This window comes from Homo sapiens, chromosome 7, assembly GCF_000001405.40.
Source record: "Homo sapiens chromosome 7, GRCh38.p14 Primary Assembly".
Lineage (NCBI taxonomy): Eukaryota > Metazoa > Chordata > Mammalia > Primates > Hominidae > Homo > Homo sapiens.
In genome coordinates, this window is record NC_000007.14 from 74,209,952 (window position 1) to 74,231,351 (window position 21,400).

Consider the following 21,400-nt stretch of genomic DNA (forward strand, 5'->3'; position numbering starts at 1 on the left):
GCGGATGTACGGATGATTCAGTGGCTGGCAGGAAGCCCGCCCTGCCCGCCCGCCAGTGTCAGTGGTGTTGGCATCAGCTTGGGCAGGTGTGCGGGCTCAGGATGGGGCGGCCGTGGTGAGGAACCCTGGACTCTCAGGTAAGCCTTTCCCAGGGGTGCCTCAGTCCTCAGGCTGTCCCCCATCCCCCAGGAGCTCCTGGCCCCACTGGGTGGGGTGGGAAGAGGCCTGGATGCCTGGCGCCCCCTCCCGCAGCCCCACTCTCACCCTGGCACCAGGCTCTGTGGCACTTCAGGGGTCAGTTTGTTTCTGGGCTTCTGGCCACTCTCTTGCCCTCGCCTTCCCCTGTCCAGCCTGTGTAGCCTTGGGACATCCCAGGGTGGTCCCATCATTGCCAGAGACTGGTGAAGTAAGTGGCCGAGAGCCAAAACAGTGGCTGCCCTGGCCTGGGAGCCTCGGTTTCCTCATCCGTGAAATGGGACTGTAACCCCCTACACAGGTCAGGGGAAAACGGTGGGATTACAGGCCAGGGCCCAGGTCTTGCCCCAGGTCAGGTGAAGAACCCCCACTGCCTCCCTGCCCAGCCCCCTACCTGGCCCTCAACTCTGTCCCTGGGACCAGGGCTGCTCAGGCCCCTCCTGCACCCGCCCGCCTCCCTCTCTCCCTCCCAGCTAGGCTCATTTGAAGCCCAGAGTTATTTGGAAAAAGCAACAGGACCAGCCGGGCACGGTGGCTCAACCTGTAATCCCAGCATTTGGGGAGGCCAAGGCGGGAGGATCATTTGAAGTCAGGAGCTGGAGACCAGCCTGAGCAACATAGTGAGACTCCCATCTCTTTAAAAAATAAAAATAAAAAAATATAATTAAAAACTAAATGAAAAAACCAACAGACCCCAGAGCAGAGTCCAGTGGATAAAGCCATCCAGGGCTTCAAGCCAGGCTGCCCCCTCCCCAACCCCAGTGTCCCCAACCACAGCTCAGCTCGGAGAAGGCTGGGAGAACCGGCAGGGTGGTCTCGAGCGTCCTTCCAGGCGGGATTCAGACACTGTAGCTCCTCCAGCCCAGCCCCGAGAACTTCCCCGAAGCCAGCTCTTGGCAATCGTTGTTCATATGAAAACTGCCCACTTCCCTTTAGTGCTATTTTGGCCTCTGCAGAACCGTGGTCTGTGGCAGCCCCCACTCCCCACCCCGCCCAGCCCTGCCGGCCCCTGGGGGCCTCAGAGGGTCCACCCTCCGCTCCCTCCACCTCAGCCCACCTGCTTTCAGAACCTGGATGGGAGAGTGAAAGTGAGAGCGAGACAGAGACACAAAGGGAGACAGAGACAGAGAGAGAGCACAGAATTTTTTTAAACGGAGTCTCACTCTGTTGTCCAGGCTGGAGTGCAGTGGCGTGATCTCGGCTCACTGCAACCTCCACCTCCCAGGTTCAAGCAGTTCTCCTGCCTTACCCTTCCAAGTAGCTGGGGACTACAGGCACGTGCTACCACACCTGGCTAATTTTTTATTTTTTATTTATTTTTTATTTTTTGGAGACAGTCTTGCTCTGTCTCCCAGGCTGGGAGTGCAGTGGTGCAATCTTGGCTCACTGCAAGCTCCACCTCCCGGGTACATGCCATTCTCCTGCCTCAGCCTCCCGAGTAGCTGAGACTAGAGGCGCCTGCCACCACGACCGGCTAATTTTTTGTATTTTTAGTAGAGACGGGGTTTCGCCATGTTAGCCAGGATGGTCTCAATCTCCTGACTTTGTGATCTGCCTGCCTCGGCCTCCCAAAGTGCTGGGATTACAGGTGTGAGCCACCGTGCCTGGCCTAATTTTTTATTTTTAGTAGAGACAGGGTTTCACCATGTTGGCCAGGCTGGTCTTGAACTCCTGACCTCAGATGATTTGCCCGCCTCAGCCTCCCAAAGTGTTGGGATTACAGGTGTGAACTACCGCACCCGGCCAACAGCGCAGGATGTATTCAGTCTGGGGGCAGACACATGACTGTTTGTTAAATTTCATTTTTTGTTTTTAGAGATGGGGTCTTGCTCTGTCACCCAGGCTGGAGTTCAGTGGTGTGATCTTGGCTCACTGCAGCTTCCAACTCCTGGGCTCAAGCAATTCTCTTGCCTCAGTGTCCCAAGTAGCTGGAACCACAGGCATGTGCCACTGCGCCTGCCTAATTTTTTCATTTTTTTGTAGAGACAGGGCCTTGTTACATCGTCCATGCTGGTCTCGAACTCCTGGCCTCAAGCGATCCTCCTGTCTCGGCCTCCCAGTGTTGAGATTACAGGCGTCAGCCACCACGCCCAGCCTGATCCCATTTTATTTATTCATTTATTTAATTTATTATTATTATTATTATTATTTTGAGATGGAGTCTCACTCTGTCTCCCATGCTGGAGTGCACTGGCGTGATCTCAGCTCACTGCAACTCACTGCCTCCTGAGTTCAAGTGATTCTCATGCCTCAGCCTCCCAAGTAGCTGGAATTACAGGCTTGCACCTCCACGCCTGGCTAATTTTTGTATTTCTAGTAGAAACAGGGTTTCACCATGTTGGCCAAGCTGGTCTCAAACTCAAGTGATCCTCCTGTCTCAGCCTCCCAAAGTATTGGGATTACAGGTGTGAGTCCCTGTACCCAGCCCGACCTCATTTTATAGATGAGAAAACTGAGGCGGGGGGCTCTCAGGCAGAGGCTAGATTTGGTCCCATGAGCCCTCCTGCAAGACAAGTTGCTCCAACCTCACAAGCCTGAGATGAACTTGGGCCATGCTGGAGGGGTTGGGGGTACACCCCGGGTTGGGGGCACTGAGGCAAGGAGAGTTTCGAGGAGGGAGAAGGGCAGTGCCCAGGCGGGCCATGGGGAAGAGAGAGCAGAGCTTTCCTCGGACAACCTCCCGGGGTGACGTGGGTCGTGCCAGTCACACGGCTCAGAAATTCACTTGTTCCCACTGACTCACTTGGCTTTTGGGGAGAGGCCTGGTGGCTTCTCTGTGATGCGCCTCTTACAGAGGCTCAGGGCCGCATGGAGATTCCCTGTCATCTTACCGCAGGGATTTGGGAAGTCCAGAGAGGTCCTGAGACTTGTCCAAAGCCACACAGCTTTCAAGGGGGACAGCCCAGGTCCTGGTGGACCTCAGGGGGATCCCAAGGCAGGAGGTAGGCAGCCTGGAGCTCCTCCATTATTATTATTATTATTATTGAGATAGAGTTTCGCTCTTGTTGCCCAGGCTGGATGGAGTGCAGTGGCGTGATCTCAGCTCACTGCAACCTCCACCTCCTTGGTTCAAGCAATTCTCTGCCTCAGCCTCCTGAGTAGCTGGGATTACAGGCGCCCACCACCACACCTGGCTAATTTTTTGTATTCTTTTTTAGTAGACACAGGGTTTCACCATCTTGGCCAGGCTGGTCTTGAACTCCTGACCTCATGAACCACCCGCCTCAGCCTCCCAAAGTGTTGGGATTACAGGCATGAGCCACTGTGCCCGGCCATTTTTTTTTTTTTTTTTTTTTGAGATGGAGTCTCGCTCTGTTGCCCAGGCTGGAGTGCAGTGGCATGATCTCGGCCCACTGCAACCTCCACCTCCTAGGTTCAAGTGATTCTCTTGCCTCAGACTCCTGATTAGCTGGGATCACAGGCGTGTGCCACCACACCCGGCTAATTTTTGTATTTTTAGTAGAGATGGGGTTTCACCATGTTGGTCAGGCTAGTCTCGAACTCCCGACCTCGTGATCTGCCCGCCTTGGCCTCCCAAAGTGCTGGGATTACAGGCGTGAGCCACCACGCCCTGCTGGAGCTCCTCCCTTTTAAGTCCTGTTTACTGCTCCAAGCCTCACCTTCCCCAGCTGTGGGATGGGGAGAAGCCCTCCTCACTGGTGGCCAGGGTGGGAAGAACACGGCGGGTGGGGGAGAGTGGACACTCGGGAGTGTTGGCTCCACAAATGCCCACCATACTCAACCCCTTCAGAGACCCCACCACCCTCAACTCTGTCCCCAGCCATCTCCAGGGGGCCAGGTCTCCTTATTATTATTTTTTGAAACGGAGTCTCACTCTGTTGCCCAGGCTGGAGTGCAGTAGCATGATCACAGCTCACTGCAGCCATATATATGTATATATATATATATATGAAAAAATATATATAAATATATATATATGAAAAAATATATATAAATATATATATGAAAATATATATATAAATATATATATGAAAATATATATAAATATATATATGAAAATATATATATGAAAATATATATAAATATATATATGAAAATATATATGAAAATATATATATGAAAATATATATGAAAATATATATATAAATATATATATATGAAAATATATATATAAATATATATATGAAAATATATATATAAATATATATATGAAAATATATATATAAATATATATATATGAAAATATATATATAAATATATATATATGAAAATATATATATAAATATATATATATGAAAATATATATATAAATATATATATATGAAAATATATATATAAATATATATATGAAAATATATATATAAATATATATATATGAAAATATATATATAAATATATATATATGAAAATATATATAAATATATATATGAATATATATATATATATATGAAAATATATATATATGAAAATATATATATAAATATATATATGAAAATATATATAAATATATATATGAATATATATATATATATATGAAAATATATATATATGAAAATATATATATAAATATATATATGAAAATAATATATATAAATATATATAAATATATATAAAAATATAAATATATATAAAAATATATAAATATATATATATAAACATATATATATAAATATATATATATATATTTTTTTTTTTTTTTGTATTTTTTTTGTAGAGATGGAATTTCACCGTGTTGCCTAGGCTGGTCTGGAGCTCTTGATCTCAAGCGATCCTCCCTGCCTCGGCCTCCCAACGTGCTGGGATTATAGGCGTGAGCCACCGCTCCTGGCCAGGGTCTGTTCCTAGTTGCAACAGTTCTTGGAAACCCACTCGAGAGGGCCACGCCTCCATTCACCAGGCCACGGTGGGTGGTGTGCGTATGTTTTGCTGAGGCCTGGTCATCACGCTGTGGCTCCAAGGCTGGGACCAGCCACAGACCGAGAAGCCGGTCAGGTGCCAGCCAGAGATTCAGGGCTCCCTCCCTCTGAACATCCTGTCTTTAGCCCATCCTTGGCATCCCAGCTCATGTCATCCCAGCCACCTGCAGCAGTGCCCTAGGGCCCCATCCCTCTGCGGATCATGCTCTTGGGCCACCTCCTCCAAGAAGCCTTCCCTGACCTCCCTCCTCCCAGCTCCCACCACAGGCAGAATCTGGGCTTGCAGTTGTTTCAGGAATGGAAGCCCCATTCCCAGGTCCTGGGGGGACCCCAAGGCAGGAGGTGGGCAGAGAGGGGTCCTGCGAAGCATAGAGGAGCCCTGAGTTGCTCTGGGGTGGGCGAGGGCTTCCGGGTGCGTCTGCGTGAGTGGTGGCCACAGACTGTCACCTCCAGGAGCCAGGGTGGGTTTACTGGAGGCAACCCACTGTGGGTTGATGGGCAGAGCCAGGGTTAGGGGCAGGACACTGGGGCCTGAATCCCATCTTTCCACTTAGCAGACGTGAGCTCTCTGGCCTCAGTTTCTCGATTTGTGAAATGCAGTGAACCTCGTCCTCAAAGGGCAGTTGTCTAGATTAAGCGAGGCTGTGTGTAGGGCTGTGTGCGTGCACATGGGGCTGTCTTGTGGGCCCCCAGAACCTTCCAGCACTTATCAAGGGTGAAGATGGCCCACAGGGCAGAGGTGTTGGTTTGGGGTCACATGGGGTGAACAGGACTGGTTCTGTCCTTGCCCAGTGCAGGAGCGGGGAGGGGAGGTGGTGTTTCCGCAGCCTAGGCTCAGGTATGGGGCTGTCCGAGCACAGTGGGGGTGTGGGGTAGGATTCCTGAAAAAGGGGCCCCTTGCTCACGGGCACCTCCCATTTCAGCATCACAAGAGGCAACACCAGGAGCCAACATGAGCTCGGGGACTGAACTGCTGTGGCCCGGAGCAGCGCTGCTGGTGCTGTTGGGGGTGGCAGCCAGTCTGTGTGTGCGCTGCTCACGCCCAGGTAAGCGGGGGTCTCGGGGACGTGATGGGGAGAAGGTGTGGACAGTGCATCTCAGAGGCCCTCTCAGGCCCAGACGTGGCTGTGGTCAGAAGAGGTGGTCAGATGAACCTCGTGATGTGACCCCTGACCCCTAAACTGCCCCCTGAAGACAATGGTCAGGTGCACCCGAGGGCTTTGGCTTTGCTGGGTCAACTGTGGTATCTCGAGCCAGAGAGATTGCCCCAGACGAGGGAGGGGAGGCGAGGTTGCCTGTGGCATCCACTTTTCTAGCCTCTCCTCTTCTAAAAAAGGGTGAGCAAATACCCTTTTTTCTTTTTTTTGGACAGAGTCTTGCTCTGGTCTCCCAGGCTGGAGGGCAGTGATGCAATCTTGGCTCACTGTAACATCCAACTCTCGGGTTGAAGCGATTCTCCTGCCTCAACCCCCTGAGTAGCTGGGACTACAGGTGCCTGCCACCATGCCTGGCTAATTTTTGTGTTTTTAGTAGAGACGGGGTTTCCCCATGTTGGCCAGGCTGGTCACGAACTGCTGACCTCATGTGATCCTCCCGCCTCGGCCCAAAGTGCTGGAATTACAGGAGGGAGCCACCACACCTGGTCCCAAATATTCTTTAATATCAGGTGGCCGGTGATGATTGACAGTTTGGCCCCCAAGTCCTGTCTGAGTCCTGCTGGAGACAAGACATGGCGGGGGGTGTCTGACCTCAGGTCGCAGCTGCTCCCAGACCCTTTGCTAATCCTGGCCTTTTCTTGCAGGTGCAAAGAGGTCAGAGAAAATCTACCAGCAGAGAAGTCTGTGAGTTGCCTCGATGTCCCTAGCCTGGTGTATTCATGTGCCCTGGGCATGGACGTCCTCAAGGGAATTCCTAGCACCCCATCCTTCACCCCTTCACTCACACCTCCTCCGTGCCAAGTTCTAGTGGGTCCCTAGCCATCAGAGAAGGGAGAGAAAGTGTCCAGGGGCTGTCCAGGCCCTGCTGTAGCTTGGGTTAGGGAGGGCTTTGGGAGGCGGGGACGCCTGGGCTGTGGGGCTAGCCACTCTTCAGCTTGCCTGTGAACCCCTCCAGAAGTCCAGGCATCTGGCCAGGCACGATGGTTCACACCTGTAATCCCAGCACTTTGGGAGGCCAAGGCAGGTGGATCACCTGAGGTCAGGAGTTTGAGACCAGCCTGGCCAACATGGTGAAACCTCATTTCTACTAAAATACAAAAATGAGCTGGGCGTGGTGGTGGGTCCCTCTACTCCCAGCTACTCTGGAGGCTGAGGCAGCAGGATCACTTGAACCCAGGAGGTGGAGGTTGCAGAGAGCCGAGATTGTGCCACTGCACTCCAGCCTGGGCAAAAAAGCAAGATTCCGTCTCAGAAAAGAAAAAAAGAAAAGAAAAAAAAAATAGAGGTCCACCAGGCACCTGTGTCCTCAGCCTCCCTTTGACCCCAATCCCCAGGGGCTAGTCCGCTCTCCCCTTGCAATGCAAGAGACAGAGAACCCGGCACAGGGTGAAATGTGAACGTTGTCGGAGACTCCCCTGGAAAAAACTGCCGGAGCTCAGGGGAGGATGTGGGCAAGTCCCTCGGGGGACCAGGGAAGGACTGTGAGAAAGACCCAGGGAAGGGCAGTGGGTTCGACACTGCAGACTGGGGCTGAAACCCAGAACAACCCAGGCACATGGGCAGTGGCCACAGGTGTCCTTTGATTAAGAGAATGGCTGTGGGCCCAGGAAACCTTGGAGGTCCATGTGCACCCCCGAGCAGTCACTCATGACCCACACACGCACACCCGCACACACATCCTTCCTCATTTCCTTTTGCAACTGAAAAACCACAGTGAGATTTGAAAATAGAATCTTCCCATCCTTGCTCATCGTGGGCCAGGGTTAGACCTTTCTGGGTCTTTCTGGCCACGTGGCTTTCTGGCCGCCTGCAACCTCCCCCGATGCCCCCCATGCCCTTGACTCCTCGGACACTTCCCCTCTCCCCTCAGGCCCTGCCCACCCCCAGCCCCCTGATTGATCTTAGAGCCATAGATGGTCAGGGCCAGACTCAGCGTCCCCATGTGGGAGGTGGAGGGGAGCTGTTTGGTCTTCTCCCTGGAATGCCTGTGCCTGCCTCTCCATCTGTCACCTCGGTTGGGCTCAGTCCCACCAGCCTGCATGAAGCGACTGCTGTGAGCACAGGCTCCGTTCCTCTGTTGCTTCTCCCAGGAAGCCACGTCTGACTGACTCTCTCCTGTGGATTTAGGGTATCTCTCCTAAATCAGGTCACCCTGAGCCCCAGTCTTCAAGGAGCTTGGAAGGCTGGGCCAGGTACCCATTCTGGTTCAGAGGAGGAGCCCCCAAACCTGCTTTAATAATGAGCTAATCCACTCCATTATCTGTAATGGCAGCTTCCATTTTCAAGAGCACCTCATGGTCCAAGATGGCAGCTGGGGTGCCGGCCCTCATCTCTGCATTCCCAGCAGCAGGAAGAAAGAATGAACAAGGATACAAAGGGTGTCTCCCAGTTGCCAGTGCCCCCGTTTAAAAAGATTTATTGGAAATATCAACAACCTTGGCTTGAATCTCATAGACCAGAGCTTAATCCATGGCCACACTTTGGTGCAAGGAAGGCTAGGAATAGTCTATTATTTATTTCTTTATTTATTTAGAGATGGAGCCACATTTACTTTTGTTCAGGCTGGAGTGCAGTAGAATGATCTTGGCTCACTGCAACCTCTGCCTCCTGGCTTCAAGCGATTCTCCTGTCTCAGCCTCCCGAGTAGCTGGGATTACAGGCATGCGCCACCATGCCCAGCTAATTTTTGTATTTTTAGTAGAGACGGGGTTTTCTCCATGTTGGTCAGGCTGGTCTTGAACTCCCAACCTCAGGTGATTCGCCTGCCTTGGCCTCCCAAAGCCCTGGGATTACAGGTGTGAGCCACCATGCCGGGTCTAGAGTGTGTGCTTTTTTTTTTTTTTTTTTTTTTTTTTTTTTTTTTTTTTGAGACGGAGTCTCGCTCTGTCGCCCAGGCCAGACTGCGGACTGCAGTGGTGCAATCTCGGCTCACTGCAAGCTCCGCTTCCCGGGTTCACGCCATTCTCCTGCCTCAGCCTCCCGAGTAGCTGGGACTACAGGCGCCCGCCACCGCGCCCGGCTAATTTTTTGTATTTTTAGTAGAGACGGGGTGAGTGTGTGCTTTTTTAAGGAATTGCAAACGCTCCCTGGGACCAGCAGGTGGGAGGCAGCCTCATCGTCACTCCTGGCTGAAATAATTTACCCCAAGTCATTGCTGGGTCCCTGAGCACCTGCCTTCATTCACCCTCATGCCCCAGAATCTCAGGGCTACCTCCACAGCCCTGTCCACAGACCCCTCCTGACCCGTCTCCAGGGGCCTGGGACCCACCGGCAGGATGTGGCCCTGTTGAGGCCATGTCAGGGATGGGTCTGGCTGAGAGCCGGGCTCCAGCCCAGGGCCCTGTGTGAGGGTTGGGCACCCAGTGCACGGAGGGGCCAGAGAATGGGGATAGCATGGGGAGCCGTGAGAATGAGGCCTGAAAGGGCAGCAGTTCCTCCCCACTGTCGCCCCAGTCCGTCCCTCTGCTTTCCCTCCTCATCCCTGCCTGTCCCTCCCTCCTGTCCCTGTGTTCTTGGGCTGTGGGAGTCCAGGCCCAGGCTCAGCACAGCCCATGCATTTCCAGGCGTGAGGACCAACAGAGCTTTACGGGGTCCCGGACCTACTCCTGTGAGTCTCCAAGTGTCCCCGGGTTGGGCTCTGGGTTGGGGGTGTCCCTATCAAGTTATCTCGGTCCCCATTGACCTGAGACCGTGGCCAGGCCTGATGTGGGGGGATGATGGGGTGAGGGGGCTGGGCTAGCTGGGGGCCCAGCCAACACCCCACTTCTTGCCCTTTGTAGTGGTCGGGCAGGCATGGCCAGGACCCCTGGCGGACATGGCACCCACAAGGTAGGTCACAGTCCCCCAGGAAGTGACAAGAATGAAAGTCCTGGAGGTCCTCACCTGGTGAGCCCAGGTCAAGACCTCCCTCCCTCCCCGAGTCCCAGAGCTCCAGGGCTCAGCTATGAAGGCCCCACAAGGGGTATGGGGGGATGTGTCCTGGGGGGCCTCTCCCCTACAGCCCCTCCTTTAACTCCCTCCTTCCCCCTCCCTGCAGGAAGGACAAGCTGTTGCAATTCTACCCCAGCCTGGAGGGTGAGTGGCACAGGGCAGGGACAGGGACAGGCCTAGCCAAGCTGGGACTAAGACAGGCGAAAACCCCATGGGACAGGCGTCGTGCAGTGGGGGCTGCGGGGCCAGGCGAGGCCTCCCCAGGAGAGACACACAGGCTGGGGCAGGGCAGGCTCCTGGAATCGGCCTGGCAGGGGGAGGGTGCACACTCGCACATGCCCCACTGAGGGGACAGGGAGCACTGCAAAGGCTCAGACACGGGAAATAGCTGGCCCTGCCTTGGGCTGCAGCACCCGAGCTGGGTGCAAAGCAGGGGCCAGGGGAGAAAGCAATTAGCTGGGTCTTTCTTCCAGATCCAGCATCTTCCAGGTACCAGAACTTCAGCAAAGGTAGGTAGGCTCCTGGAGAAAGGGGGAGGCCATGGTGGGGGCCACACCCAGGGGCTCAGGCCCAATTCTCGCCTCCTCCCGCAGGAAGCAGACACGGGTCGGAGGAAGCCTACATGTGAGTGACCTTGATCCTGTCCCCCCTGCCTCGCCTCTCCCCCTGCCCCACCTCTCCCCCTGCCCCACCTCTCCCCCTGCCCCACCTGCCTGCCACAGCCCTGGGCTTCCTGGTCCAGGAACCACCTCTTGCACTAGAACGAGGCATCCAGGTTCCCCTCCTTCTCCTGGCAGGCAGGCATTGGGCGACACTGTTGTCTCTTAGGTAACCCTGGGTTTGGGGGACTGGACTTTGCCCTGCTCTGGGACACAGAGTGTCAGGGGCGGGGGATAGAGACTCATTCAGCATCACCCAGTCAAAGACAAGCTACAGGACACCCAGAATCCCTCGGGGGTGTTGCATCATCTCACAGATGGGCAAACGATGGGGAATGGCCTAAGGTCACATAGCAAGGTGGCTCACCAGGTGCGGTGGCTCATGCCTGTAATCCCAGGACTTTGGGAGGCCAAGGCAGGCAGATCACCTGAGGCCAGGAGTTCAAGACCAGCCTCGCCAACATGGTGAAACCTCATCTCTACTAAAAATAAAAAATTAGCCAGGCATGGTGGTGCGTGCCTGTAATCCCAGCTACTCGGGAGGCTGATGCAGGAGAATCGCTTGAACCTGGGAGGCTGAGGTTGCAGTGAGCCGAGATCATGCCACTGTACTCCAGCCTGGGTGACAGAGACTCTGTCTCAAAAAAAAAAAAAAAAAAAAAAAAAAAAAGTGGCTCCAGCCCCTGGTGGCTCAGGGGTCCCAGGAAGTGGGGGTGGGGGAATCAGAGAGGAGATCCTGGCAGACCCCCATGGCCCCCAAGAGGAGCAATGGTGGGAGCAGCCCTGGCCTCACCGCCCCCTTATGGAGCCCCCAACCCGATCTCCAGCCTGCCCTGAAACCTGTGTTGTATATGTTTTCTTGGCCAGAGACCCCATTGCCATGGAGTATTACAACTGGGGGCGGTTCTCGAAGCCCCCAGAAGGTGAGGCGAAGGACAAAGCCGGAGGTGGAGGAAGTGGTGTGGGAGCTCAGGGCAGAAGCCATACCTCCAGGCAGGAGAGGAGGCTGGGCCTGGGTTCGGGTAAATCGGCAGAGCCGGTTGGGTGGACAGAAGGAGGCTGGTGCTGCAGGCGGGGGCCAAGAAGGGATAGGGGGCGGGCGGGTCAGCGTGGGAGAGCTGTGGGCACAGGGCGTGGGAGAGAGGAGTGGGCCACAGGGCAGGGAACTAGAGGGCTGGCTTGGGGAGGTGGGGGGAGGCCAGGTCCTTGTCAACGAGGACTGAGCATCTTCTCCTGACCCCAGAAGGTACCTGGGATGGTGATCCCTGCAGGCTCTGAGGCCACCAGAAACCTGGTCGCTGAATGCCTTTGCTTTATAGGAAGGGCAACTGAGAGGCCGGGTGTGGTGGCTCACCCCTGTAATCCCAGCACTTTGGGAGGCTAAGGTGGGTGGATCACCTGAGGTCAGGAGTTCAAGACCAGTGTGGCCAACATGGTGAAACCCCATCTCTACAAAAATACAAAAAAAAAAAAAAAAAAAAATTAGCCAGGCATGGTGGCACATGCCTGTAATCCCAGCTACTTGGGAGGCTGAGACAGGAGAATTGCTTGAACCCGGGAGGCGGAGGCTGCAGTGAGCCAAGATCGCACCATTGCACTCCAGCCTGGGCAACAGAGTGAGACTCCATCTCAAAAAAAAAAAAAATCCCCCCAAAAAAGGGCAACTGAGGACTCAGGGTGGGCAGTGCCTGCTGAGAGGTGCATGGGCCTGCGGTTTGAATCCAGCTCCATGACCTGGCTCCTGCCTGGACCATACTGGGTAGGACCATGGTGTTGGGGGGTCCTCTTCTGCCCCCCACCACTGCCACCTCCATTTTTTTTTTGAGACACAGCCTTGCTCTGTCACCCAGGTTGAGTACAATGTCACGATCTTGGTTCACTGCAACCTCCGCCTCCCGGGTTCAAGCGATTTTCCTGCCTCAGCCTCCCGAGTAGCTGAGATTACAGGCGCCTGCCACCACGCCTGGCTAATTTTTTGTATTTTTAGTAGAGACAGGGTTTCACCATATTGGCCAGGCTGGTCTTGAACTCCTGACCTCAGGTGATCCGCCCGCCTTGGCCTCCCAAAGTGCTGGGATTACAGGCATGAGCCACCCCGCCAGGCTGGCAGTGCTCATTTCTTAGGACCCCCAACATCACTGATGGATTTTGGGTGGGGCATCAGTCAGAGCCCAGCTTCCCCATTACAAGGCCAAGATGGGGTGCCAGGCGCTGAGGTGCCATACTCAGCCTGGGTCCCCGAGCAAAGCATCCTCAGCCTGCCCTGCCCTATCTGGAAGAGTCCAGCCCCTTCCCGGCAGTGGCTCTAGGGAGAGCTCCTGATTATAGAGATGAACCCCTGAGGCTGCCCCTGCCTCCCTCCCTCTCTCCAGCCACCCGGCATGGGCCTGAATTGCAGCCCCCGCAGAGTACCCCCTCCAGAGTGCATATGGAGGGGATCTCAGAAGACAGAGGCTGGACACAGTGACTCACGCCTGTAATCCCAACATTTTGGGAAGATTGCCTAAGCTTAGGGGTTCAAGACCAGCCTGGGCAACACAGCGAGATCCTCTCTACAAACAATTTTAAAAGTTAGCTGGGCGTGGTGGTGCATGCCTGTAGTTCCAGCTACTCAGGAGGCTGCGGGGTAGGAAGATCGTTTGAGCCGGGAGTTGGAGGCTACAGTGAGCTGACTTTGCCAGTGCTCTCCAGCCTGGGTGACAGAGCAAGACCGTCTCAACAAGAAACAAAGAAGACAGAGGAGCTCAGGGCTCAGGGAAGAGCATGCAGGGGCACCAGGCCAGCACCCATTAGGAAGCTCATCCAGAAGAAGGCTTGAGGTCCCGGGGGACCCAGAGGGCTAGGGCTTGGCGGAAGAGGTCCCCTGCAAAGGGAAGGCAGGACAGAGCGGGAGGATGAGCCAGGCTTTGCAGGGTCTGCCCACACCCCCGTGCCCACTCCTCTCTCTCCTGCAGATGATGATGCCAATTCCTACGAGAATGTGCTCATTTGCAAGCAGAAAACCACAGAGACAGGTGAGGCTGCCCAGCCAGAGGCAGGCTGGGGCTGGGAGCAGCAGGCCTCCTTGGCCAGGTGCCCCTGCACTCCCCACTGCTCAAAGGCCGCCCCCACTTTGAAGCCTGAAGGCTCTCGGATCCCCAGGTACCTTTCGGTAGAGCCTTGCCCCTACTATCCTCGGAGGCAGCTCTATTGGCTCCTGGTGCCTCTGTGGGACTGAGCCAAGGGGGGCCTATTCTCCCTCTCTGCAGGTGCCCAGCAGGAGGGCATAGGTGGCCTCTGCAGAGGGGACCTCAGCCTGTCACTGGCCCTGAAGACTGGCCCCACTTCTGGTCTCTGTCCCTCTGCCTCCCCGGAAGAAGATGAGGAATCTGAGGATTATCAGAACTCAGCATCCATCCATCAGTGGCGCGAGTCCAGGAAGGTCATGGGTAGGTGGCCGGGAGAAGAGGCAGGGTGGTCCACTTAGGGCAGGCTTGAGGGACTGGCCTGGAAGGGCAGGCTGAAAGTGGGCTTCCCTCCAGCCAGTCCAGCTAACCCCGCAGTGATGCCTGGGTGCAGGAGCAGCTGCAGAGACCTTGAACCACACAGGACGGCCCTTGGCAGCCGCCCAGCCTCCAGGGTGGGGTCAGGTCCTCCCGGGCAGGCCGCCCCATCCAGCTGCATGCATGGAGTAACGCATTCACCTGCTCTCACAGCAGGACGATCTCCGGCAAATCCCAGAGACAGGACAGACACACACCGCCAGGACCTGTCGGGCGTGGCATTTCCCGCGGGCTGTTTTGTGGAGTCTGGGGGTCTGAGTCTGGGGGAGCAGTCATGGGTGTCTCCATGTGAACCACTCGATGACCTGTCTGCCCGCTGGTCCACAGGGCAACTCCAGAGAGAAGCATCCCCTGGCCCGGTGGGAAGCCCAGACGAGGAGGACGGGGAACCGGATTACGTGAATGGGGAGGTGGCAGCCACAGAAGCCTAGGGCAGACCAAGAAGAAAGGTACAGCCCCTGCTCTCCAGCTGCCGTGGGCCAAGGATTGGAGGTCTTGCCAAGCTGCAGGACCCCCAATCCAAGGGAACAGCCGAGAGTGTGGGTGGAGGGGCCATGGTGGGGGCTACAGGGTGCACCCATGGGTGCTCCAAGAGGGCAGCTTGGCGACTCTGTTCCTCTGTTCTGGCCAGGGGCGTCAGGCAGGGAATTCTGGTGACTTCAGGGGCAAAGAAGTGGGCACCGGGTGGGTCTCCCAACTCCACTGCATCCTCCTGGCTGCGACCTTGGACCAAGTGACAACCTCCCAGAACTTAGTTCCTCACTTGGTGCCCACCTCTCAGAGAAGACATCGCACACACGGCCGGGCACGGTGGCTCACGCCTGTAATCCCGGCACTTTGGGAGGCCGAGGCAGGCAGATCACCTGAGGTCACGAGTTCGAGACCAGCCTGGCCAACATGGTGAAACTTCATCTCTACTAAAAACACAAAAAATTAGCCAGGCATGGTGGTGGGTGCCTGTAGTCCCAGTTAGTTGGGAGGCTGAGGCAGGAGAATCATTTGAACCCTGAAGGCGGAGGTTGCGGTGAGTTAAGATCACATGCACTCAACCCTGGGTGACAGAGCGAGACTCCGTCTCAATAAATAAATAAAAAAACAGACATTGCACACAAAGCCTCAGCCCAGCAGGCACTCGGTCAATGCTGGAAACAGACAGGAGGCAGGGACGTTGGGAAATGTAACAGTGGCTGAGACGCGCTGAGGAGCCACCGCAGGCCAGTGAGATGGTGCGGCGCTAAGCGCTCACACGTGCACCATCTCTTAGCACCCAAAGCCACAGAGCAGTTAAGCCACCTGCCCAAGGCCACATCTTGAAGTAAGGGGAGGAGGAGATGGAATCCCCAGTGGTCAGACATCAGACATCAAAGCCTAGGCTGGGTCTACTGCTTGGGAAGCACGATGGACCCCCAGAGGGCCTTGAAGGCTGCCCAAAGTCCCCATCTGGGAGACCCAGGCCGTCATCTCAGCGAGCAGGCTGGAGGGTGGAAACCACAGTGAACCTGGGTGGTCAAGAGTCAGCCCCAGAGGCAGGTGCAGGAGTTTGAGCCAAATGTGCAGAGCCCCACGTCATTCATTCAACCAGTATCCACTGGGCCCCTGCTACGGGCAAGTCCTGCTCTAGGTGCTGGGAACACCAACATAAAGAACAGCAAACCCCTGACCCCTTAGAACTTGCATTCTGGTAGGAGAGAGAAAACAGATAGGGCTGGACACAGCGGTCATGCCTATAAATCCCAGCACTTCGGGAGGCTGAGGCGGGAGGATCCTTTGAGCCTCTGAGTTTGAGGCCAGCCTGGGCAACATAGCAAGACCTCTCTCTCTACAAAAACTTTTTTTTTTTTTTTTTGAGACAGAGTATCACTGTCACTCAGGCTGGAGTGCAGTGGCGCCATCTCGGCTCACTGCAACCTCCACCTCCTGGGTTCAAGCGATTCTCGTGCCTCAGCCTTCCAAGTAGCTGGGATTACAGGCACACGCCACCATGTCCAGCCTCTATAAAAACATTTAAAATTAGCCAGGCATGGTGGTGGATGCCCTAGAGTCCCACTGACTTGGGAGGCTGAGGTGGGAAGATCACTTGAGCCTGGGAGGTCAAGGTTGCAATGAGCCATGGTTGCTGCAGTGAGCTGTGGTCGTGCCACTGCACTCAAGCCTGGGCAACAGAGCAAGACCCCATCTCAAAAAAAAAATTTAAAAATTAGCTGGGCATAGTGGTGTGTACCTGTAGTCCCAGCTACTTGGGAGGCTGAGGCAGGAGGATCGCTTGAGCCCAGGAGTTCAAGGCTACAGTGAGCTATGATTGTACCACTGTACAGCCAGGATGACAGAGTGAGACCCTGTCAAAACAACAACAACAACAAGAAAACAGATAAGAAGACATGGCATGTTCACTGGTGGTAAGTCTGGCAGAGAGAAACAAAACAGGGAAGCGGGGCAGGAAGTAGTGTGGGGTTGTGGGCAAGACGCAGTGTTGCAATTTAAGGAAGGCGGCTAGGGAAGCCTTTCAGAGCTCCCTTCCTCACCCCATCTGGGGGAAGGACATCCAGGCAGAGGGGACAACAGAGGCCCCAGGGTGGAGTGAGCCCCACAGGTCTGAGCAAAGCCAGGGGCCAGGGAGGAGCAGGTGAGGGGAAACTAGTGGAGGTCGAGGCCGTTGGTGGGGAGGCTGACCAGGCAGGGCCAGCACTTGGGGTTTTACTGCATGAGATGGGAGGGAGGGAGGGAGATAGAAAGGTTGTTTTTTCTTTTTTTTTTTTTTTCGTTCCTGTCGCCCAGGCTGAAGTGCAATGGTGCAATCTTGGCTCACTGCAAACTCCGCCTCCTGGGTTCAAGCGATGCTCCTGCCTCAGCCTCCCGAGTAGCTGCGATTACAGGTGTCTGCCACCACACCCGGCCAATTTGTATTTATTTTATTTTATTTTGTTTTTTGAGAGGGAGTCTCGCTCTGTCACCCAGGCTGGAGTGCAGTGGCGTGATCTCGGCTCACTGCAACCTCTGCCTCCTGGGTTCAGGTTTCTCTTGCCTCAGCCTCCCGAGTAGCTGGGATTACAGGCACACGCCACAACACCTGGCTAATTTTTGTATTTTTAGTAGAGATGGGGTTTCACCATGTTGGCCAGGCTGGTCTCAAACTCCTGACCTAAAGTGATCGGCCCACCTCAGCCTCCCCAAGTGCTGGGATTACAGGCATGAGCTACCATGCCTGGCTAATGGGAAGGTTTTGTACAAAGACTGGCTGGATGTTTCTAATTCAATTTTTCTGGCTGTTGGGCAGACAAATGGGTACTGGGAGAGTGGGTACAGGAAGCCCAGGAAGGACCCAGGCACTGGTGCCATCTGGGCAAGGGGTGGCAGCAGTGGAGACAGGGGTAGGCAACATGGTGAAACGCTGTCTCTACATAATATACAAAAATTTGCCAGGTGTAGTGGCGCATACGTGTAGTCCCAGCTACTCGGAGGTTGAGGCGGGAGGATAGCTTGAGTCTAGGAGGTTGAGCTGCTGTGTGAGCTGTGATTGCACCACTGCACTCCAGCCTGGGCCACAGAGCAAGACGCTGTCTCAAAACAAAAACAAAAAGAAGAGGCCAGGCGCAGTGGCTCACGCCTGTAATCCCAGCACTTTGGGAGGCTGAGGCAGGCTGATCACCTGAGGTCAGGAGTTCGAGACCATCCTGGGCAACATGGGGAAACCCCATCTCTACTAAAAATACAAAAATTAGCCAGGTGTGGTGGCGTGTGCCTGTAATCCCAGCTACTCGGGAGGCTGAGGCACGAGAATCACTTGAACCTGGAAGGAGGAGGTTGCAGTGAGCTAAGATCGCACCATTGCACTCCAGCCTGGGCAACTACGTCTTAAAAAAAAAAAAAAAAAAAAAAAAAAAAAAGCCAGGCGCGGTGGCTCACGCCTGTAATCCCAGCACTTTGGGAGGCTGAGGCGGGCGGATCACAAGGTCAGGAGATCGAGACCATCCTGGCTAACACAGTGAAACCCCGTCTCTACTAAAAATACAAAAAATTAGCCGGGCATGGTGGCAGGCGCCTGTAGTCCCAGCTACTTGGGAGGCTGAGGCAAGAGAATGGCGTGAACCCGGGAGGCAGAGCTTGCAGTGAGCCGAGATCACGCCACTGCACTCCAGCCTGGGAGACAGAGCAAGACTCTGTCTCAAAAACACAAAAACAAACAAACAAAATGGGCCAGGCGTGGTGGCTCACGCCTGTAATCCCAGCACTTTGGGAAGCCGAGGTGGGCGGATCACGAGGTCAGGAGATCGAGACCATCCTGGCTAACATGGTGAAACCCTGTCTCTACTAAAAATACAAAAAAAAAAAAAAAAAATTAGCTGGGCGTGGTGGCGTAGTCCCAGCTACTTGGGAGGCTGAGGCAGGAGAATGGCGTGAACCTGAGAGGCGGAGCTTGCAGTGAGCCGAGATCGCGCCACCGCACTCCAGCCTGGGTGACAGAGTGAGACTCCATCTCAAAAAAAAAAAAAGAAACCCAGTTATTGATGTGCGGCTTCTGTTCTCAGCCAGGAGGCAGGCTCAATGGTGTCCCCAAACCAGTGGTTATGGTTCTCAGGAACAAAATACTGATCAAGGCAAACCTCCTTCTACAAACTTTCCTCTTCATTTAAGGAGCCAAGGCAAAGAGGGACCACTGTGCTCATGGACCCATCGCTGCCTTCCAAGGACCATTTCCCAGAGCTACTCAACTTTTAAGCCCCTGCCATGGTTGCTCCTGGAAGGAGAACCAGCCACCCTGAGGACCACCTGGCCATGCGTGCACAGCCTGGGAAAAGACAGTTACTCACGGGAGCTGCAGGCCCGTCACCAAGCCCTCTCCCGACCCAGGCTTTGTGGGGCAGGCACCTGGTACCAAGGGTAACCCGGCTCCTGGTATGGACGGATGCGCAGGATTTAGGATAAGCTGTCACCCAGTCCCCATAACAAAACCACTGTCCAACACTGGTATCTGTGTTCTTTTGTGCTATGAATTTGGATTCCTAATTGCTATTGTTGGTTGCTGGGGTTTTAAATGATTGATAAGCTTGTACAGTTAACTTATAGAGGGGGAGCCATATTTAACATTCTGGATTTCAGAGTAGAGATTTCTGTGTTGTCTCCTAGAAAGCATTACATGTAGTTTATTTCAGCATCCTTGTTGGGTGGGGCCCTGGCTCTCTTCCCCTTTGGTGGGACCTCCCCTTTCTTTGGGCTTCAGTTCACTCAGGAAGAAATGAGGCTGTCGCCATCTTTATGTGCTTCCAGTGGAAATGTCACTTGCTACAGACAATAGTGCATGAGAGTCTAGAGAAGTAGTGACCAGAACAGGGCAGAGTAGGTCCCCTCCATGGCCCTGAATCCTCCTCTGCTCCAGGGCTGGCCTCTGCAGAGCTGATTAAACAGTGTTGTGACTGTCTCATGGGAAGAGCTGGGGCCCAGAGGGACCTTGAGTCAGAAATGTTGCCAGAAAAAGTATCTCCTCCAACCAAAACATCTCAATAAAACCATTTTAGTTGAAAAGCAGTGATTATCCTGTGTCTCCTTTCTCCTGCTTCAGGTAAAAAACCTTTTATAAAAATATAAAAATTAGCCGGGCCTGGTGGTGCATGCCTGTAGTCTCAACTACTTGGGAGGCTGAGGCAGGAAAATCACTTGAACCCAGAAGGTTGCAGTGAACTATGATTGCATCACTGCACTCCAGCCTGGGCAAGAGGGAGACCTTGTCTCAAAAAACATAACAAAACACGGCCAGGCACAGTGGCTCACGCCTGTAATCCCAGCACTTTGGGAGGCTGAGGTGGGTGGATCACGAGGTCAGGAGATCGAGACCATCCTGACTAACACAGTGAAACCCGTCTCTAATAAAAATACAAAAAAATTAGCCGGGCATGGTGGCGGGCACCTGTAGTCCCAGCTACTTGGGAGGCTGAGGCAGGAGAATGGCGTGAACCCGGGAGGCGGAGCTTGCAGTGAGCCGAGATCGCACCACTGCACTCCAGCCTGGACGAAAGAGGGAGACCTTGTCTCAAAAAACATAACCAAACACAAAAAGCCTTAAGGGAATGGCGGCCACAGCTCTTGTTTAATAAAAAGGGACCCTGAGAGCATCAGGGCTGCGGATGGGATCTTAGTTCCCAAGTCCAGCCGTCTTTCTGGGATGGCCCAGGGACTCTTCCCATGAGAAGAAATTAATGCGACAAGTTAGGAAATCAGAAGAAACATCTAGAACCCAACTGCCGCCCACCTGTTACTTCACATCCTGAAGTCCTGACTGTACAACCTCAGGGACAAGTTTCTCTTCCTTTTTTTGTAAGAGTCTCGCTCTGTCGCCCAGGCTGGAGTGCAATGGCACCATCTTGCCTCACTACAATCTCCACCTCCTGGGTTCAAGCAATTCTCCTGCCTCAGCCTCCTGAGTAGCTGGGATTACAGGCGTGCGCCACCATGCCCAGCTAATTTCGTATTTTAGTATTTCGTATTTTAGCCACCGTGCCCAAATGGGCCAGGCATGGTGGCTCACACCTGTAATGCCAGCACTTAGGAGGCTGAGGTGGGAGGATCACTTGAGGCCAGGAGTTCGAGACCAGTCCCAGCAATATAGTGAGACCTCATTTCTACAAAAAATTTAATAATTAGCTGGGTATCGTGGTACATGCCTGTAGTCCCAGCTACTCAGGAGGCTGAGGTAGGAGGATCACTTGAGCCCAAGAGGTTGAGGCTGCAGTGAGCCAAGATTGGCCCACTACACTCTAGCCTGGGCGACAGAGTGAGACCCAATCTCAAAAATCAAAACAAAACAAAAAGGGAAAAAAATAGTATCTTACCAAAAAAAAAAAAAAGGCAATTCTACAAATTAGTACGAAATTCTTTGGGGAATTCTAAAGCAAGCGCAAAGAGTATGGTCTAGAACACAGGAAGAGCATCACGGTGTTTTCCTGAGGGCTGGGCTGCATCTCTCCACTCTGCCGCCCTCTCTGAAAGGCTCGCCACCTGGCCATTCTGAGAAATCAGTCTAAATAGGAAAGACAGCAAACCCTGCC

At 53.8% G+C, this 21,400-nt stretch overlaps 1 protein-coding gene across 5 annotated transcripts, besides 8 other annotated features; it reads left to right on the top strand.

Annotated features, from left to right (window-relative positions):
- LAT2 (linker for activation of T cells family member 2) lies at nucleotides 55–19,883 on the top strand. Of its 5 annotated transcripts, none has more exons than XM_047420801.1 (14): nucleotides 55–137; nucleotides 4,871–5,388; nucleotides 5,996–6,118; nucleotides 6,874–6,913; nucleotides 9,793–9,836; nucleotides 10,009–10,057; nucleotides 10,266–10,303; nucleotides 10,633–10,668; nucleotides 10,753–10,783; nucleotides 11,686–11,741; nucleotides 13,773–13,832; nucleotides 14,067–14,246; nucleotides 14,688–14,809; nucleotides 18,993–19,883. In XM_047420801.1, exons 2-13 carry the CDS (start codon nucleotides 5,370–5,372, stop codon nucleotides 14,789–14,791), a joined length of 780 nt encoding a protein of 259 aa, XP_047276757.1. In that variant the 5' UTR covers nucleotides 55–137; nucleotides 4,871–5,369; the 3' UTR covers nucleotides 14,792–14,809; nucleotides 18,993–19,883. The 5 variants fall into 5 exon arrangements, with proteins under 5 accessions (XP_047276757.1, XP_011514860.1, NP_115853.2 ...); XM_011516558.2 differs by having other exon boundaries at nucleotides 4,871–5,148; NM_032464.3 differs by having other exon boundaries at nucleotides 4,871–5,059.
- Nucleotides 869–988: an enhancer, noted in NCBI's record as "active region_26142". NCBI's record gives its function as "activates an Ori minimal core promoter by ATAC-STARR-seq in GM12878 lymphoblastoid cells {active_cell/tissue: GM12878}" and the evidence as "EXISTENCE:reporter gene assay evidence [ECO:0000049][PMID:35858748]".
- Nucleotides 1,089–1,178: a silencer, noted in NCBI's record as "silent region_18275". NCBI's record gives its function as "represses an Ori minimal core promoter by ATAC-STARR-seq in GM12878 lymphoblastoid cells {active_cell/tissue: GM12878}" and the evidence as "EXISTENCE:reporter gene assay evidence [ECO:0000049][PMID:35858748]".
- Nucleotides 2,859–2,938: an enhancer, noted in NCBI's record as "active region_26143". NCBI's record gives its function as "activates an Ori minimal core promoter by ATAC-STARR-seq in GM12878 lymphoblastoid cells {active_cell/tissue: GM12878}" and the evidence as "EXISTENCE:reporter gene assay evidence [ECO:0000049][PMID:35858748]".
- Nucleotides 3,069–3,128: an enhancer, noted in NCBI's record as "active region_26144". NCBI's record gives its function as "activates an Ori minimal core promoter by ATAC-STARR-seq in GM12878 lymphoblastoid cells {active_cell/tissue: GM12878}" and the evidence as "EXISTENCE:reporter gene assay evidence [ECO:0000049][PMID:35858748]".
- Nucleotides 6,552–7,508: an enhancer, noted in NCBI's record as "H3K27ac-H3K4me1 hESC enhancer chr7:73630833-73631789 (GRCh37/hg19 assembly coordinates)". NCBI's record gives its function as "activates a minimal SCP1, AML or CMV promoter by ChIP-STARR-seq in primed H9 embryonic stem cells {active_cell/tissue: H9 hESC(primed)}" and the evidence as "EXISTENCE:reporter gene assay evidence [ECO:0000049][PMID:30033119]".
- Nucleotides 10,138–10,986: an enhancer, noted in NCBI's record as "H3K4me1 hESC enhancer chr7:73634419-73635267 (GRCh37/hg19 assembly coordinates)". NCBI's record gives its function as "activates a minimal SCP1, AML or CMV promoter by ChIP-STARR-seq in naive H9 embryonic stem cells {active_cell/tissue: H9 hESC(naive)}" and the evidence as "EXISTENCE:reporter gene assay evidence [ECO:0000049][PMID:30033119]".
- Nucleotides 13,754–13,803: an enhancer, noted in NCBI's record as "active region_26145". NCBI's record gives its function as "activates an Ori minimal core promoter by ATAC-STARR-seq in GM12878 lymphoblastoid cells {active_cell/tissue: GM12878}" and the evidence as "EXISTENCE:reporter gene assay evidence [ECO:0000049][PMID:35858748]".
- Nucleotides 19,414–19,693: an enhancer, noted in NCBI's record as "active region_26146". NCBI's record gives its function as "activates an Ori minimal core promoter by ATAC-STARR-seq in GM12878 lymphoblastoid cells {active_cell/tissue: GM12878}" and the evidence as "EXISTENCE:reporter gene assay evidence [ECO:0000049][PMID:35858748]".

Coding starts and splice junctions, on each gene's coding strand:
- LAT2 (XM_047420801.1), top strand. Junction 10,058..10,265: donor GCGGACATGGCACCCACAAG/GTAGGTCACAGT, acceptor CCCTCCCTGCAG/GAAGGACAAGCTGTTGCAAT. Junction 10,669..10,752: donor GTACCAGAACTTCAGCAAAG/GTAGGTAGGCTC, acceptor CTCCTCCCGCAG/GAAGCAGACACGGGTCGGAG.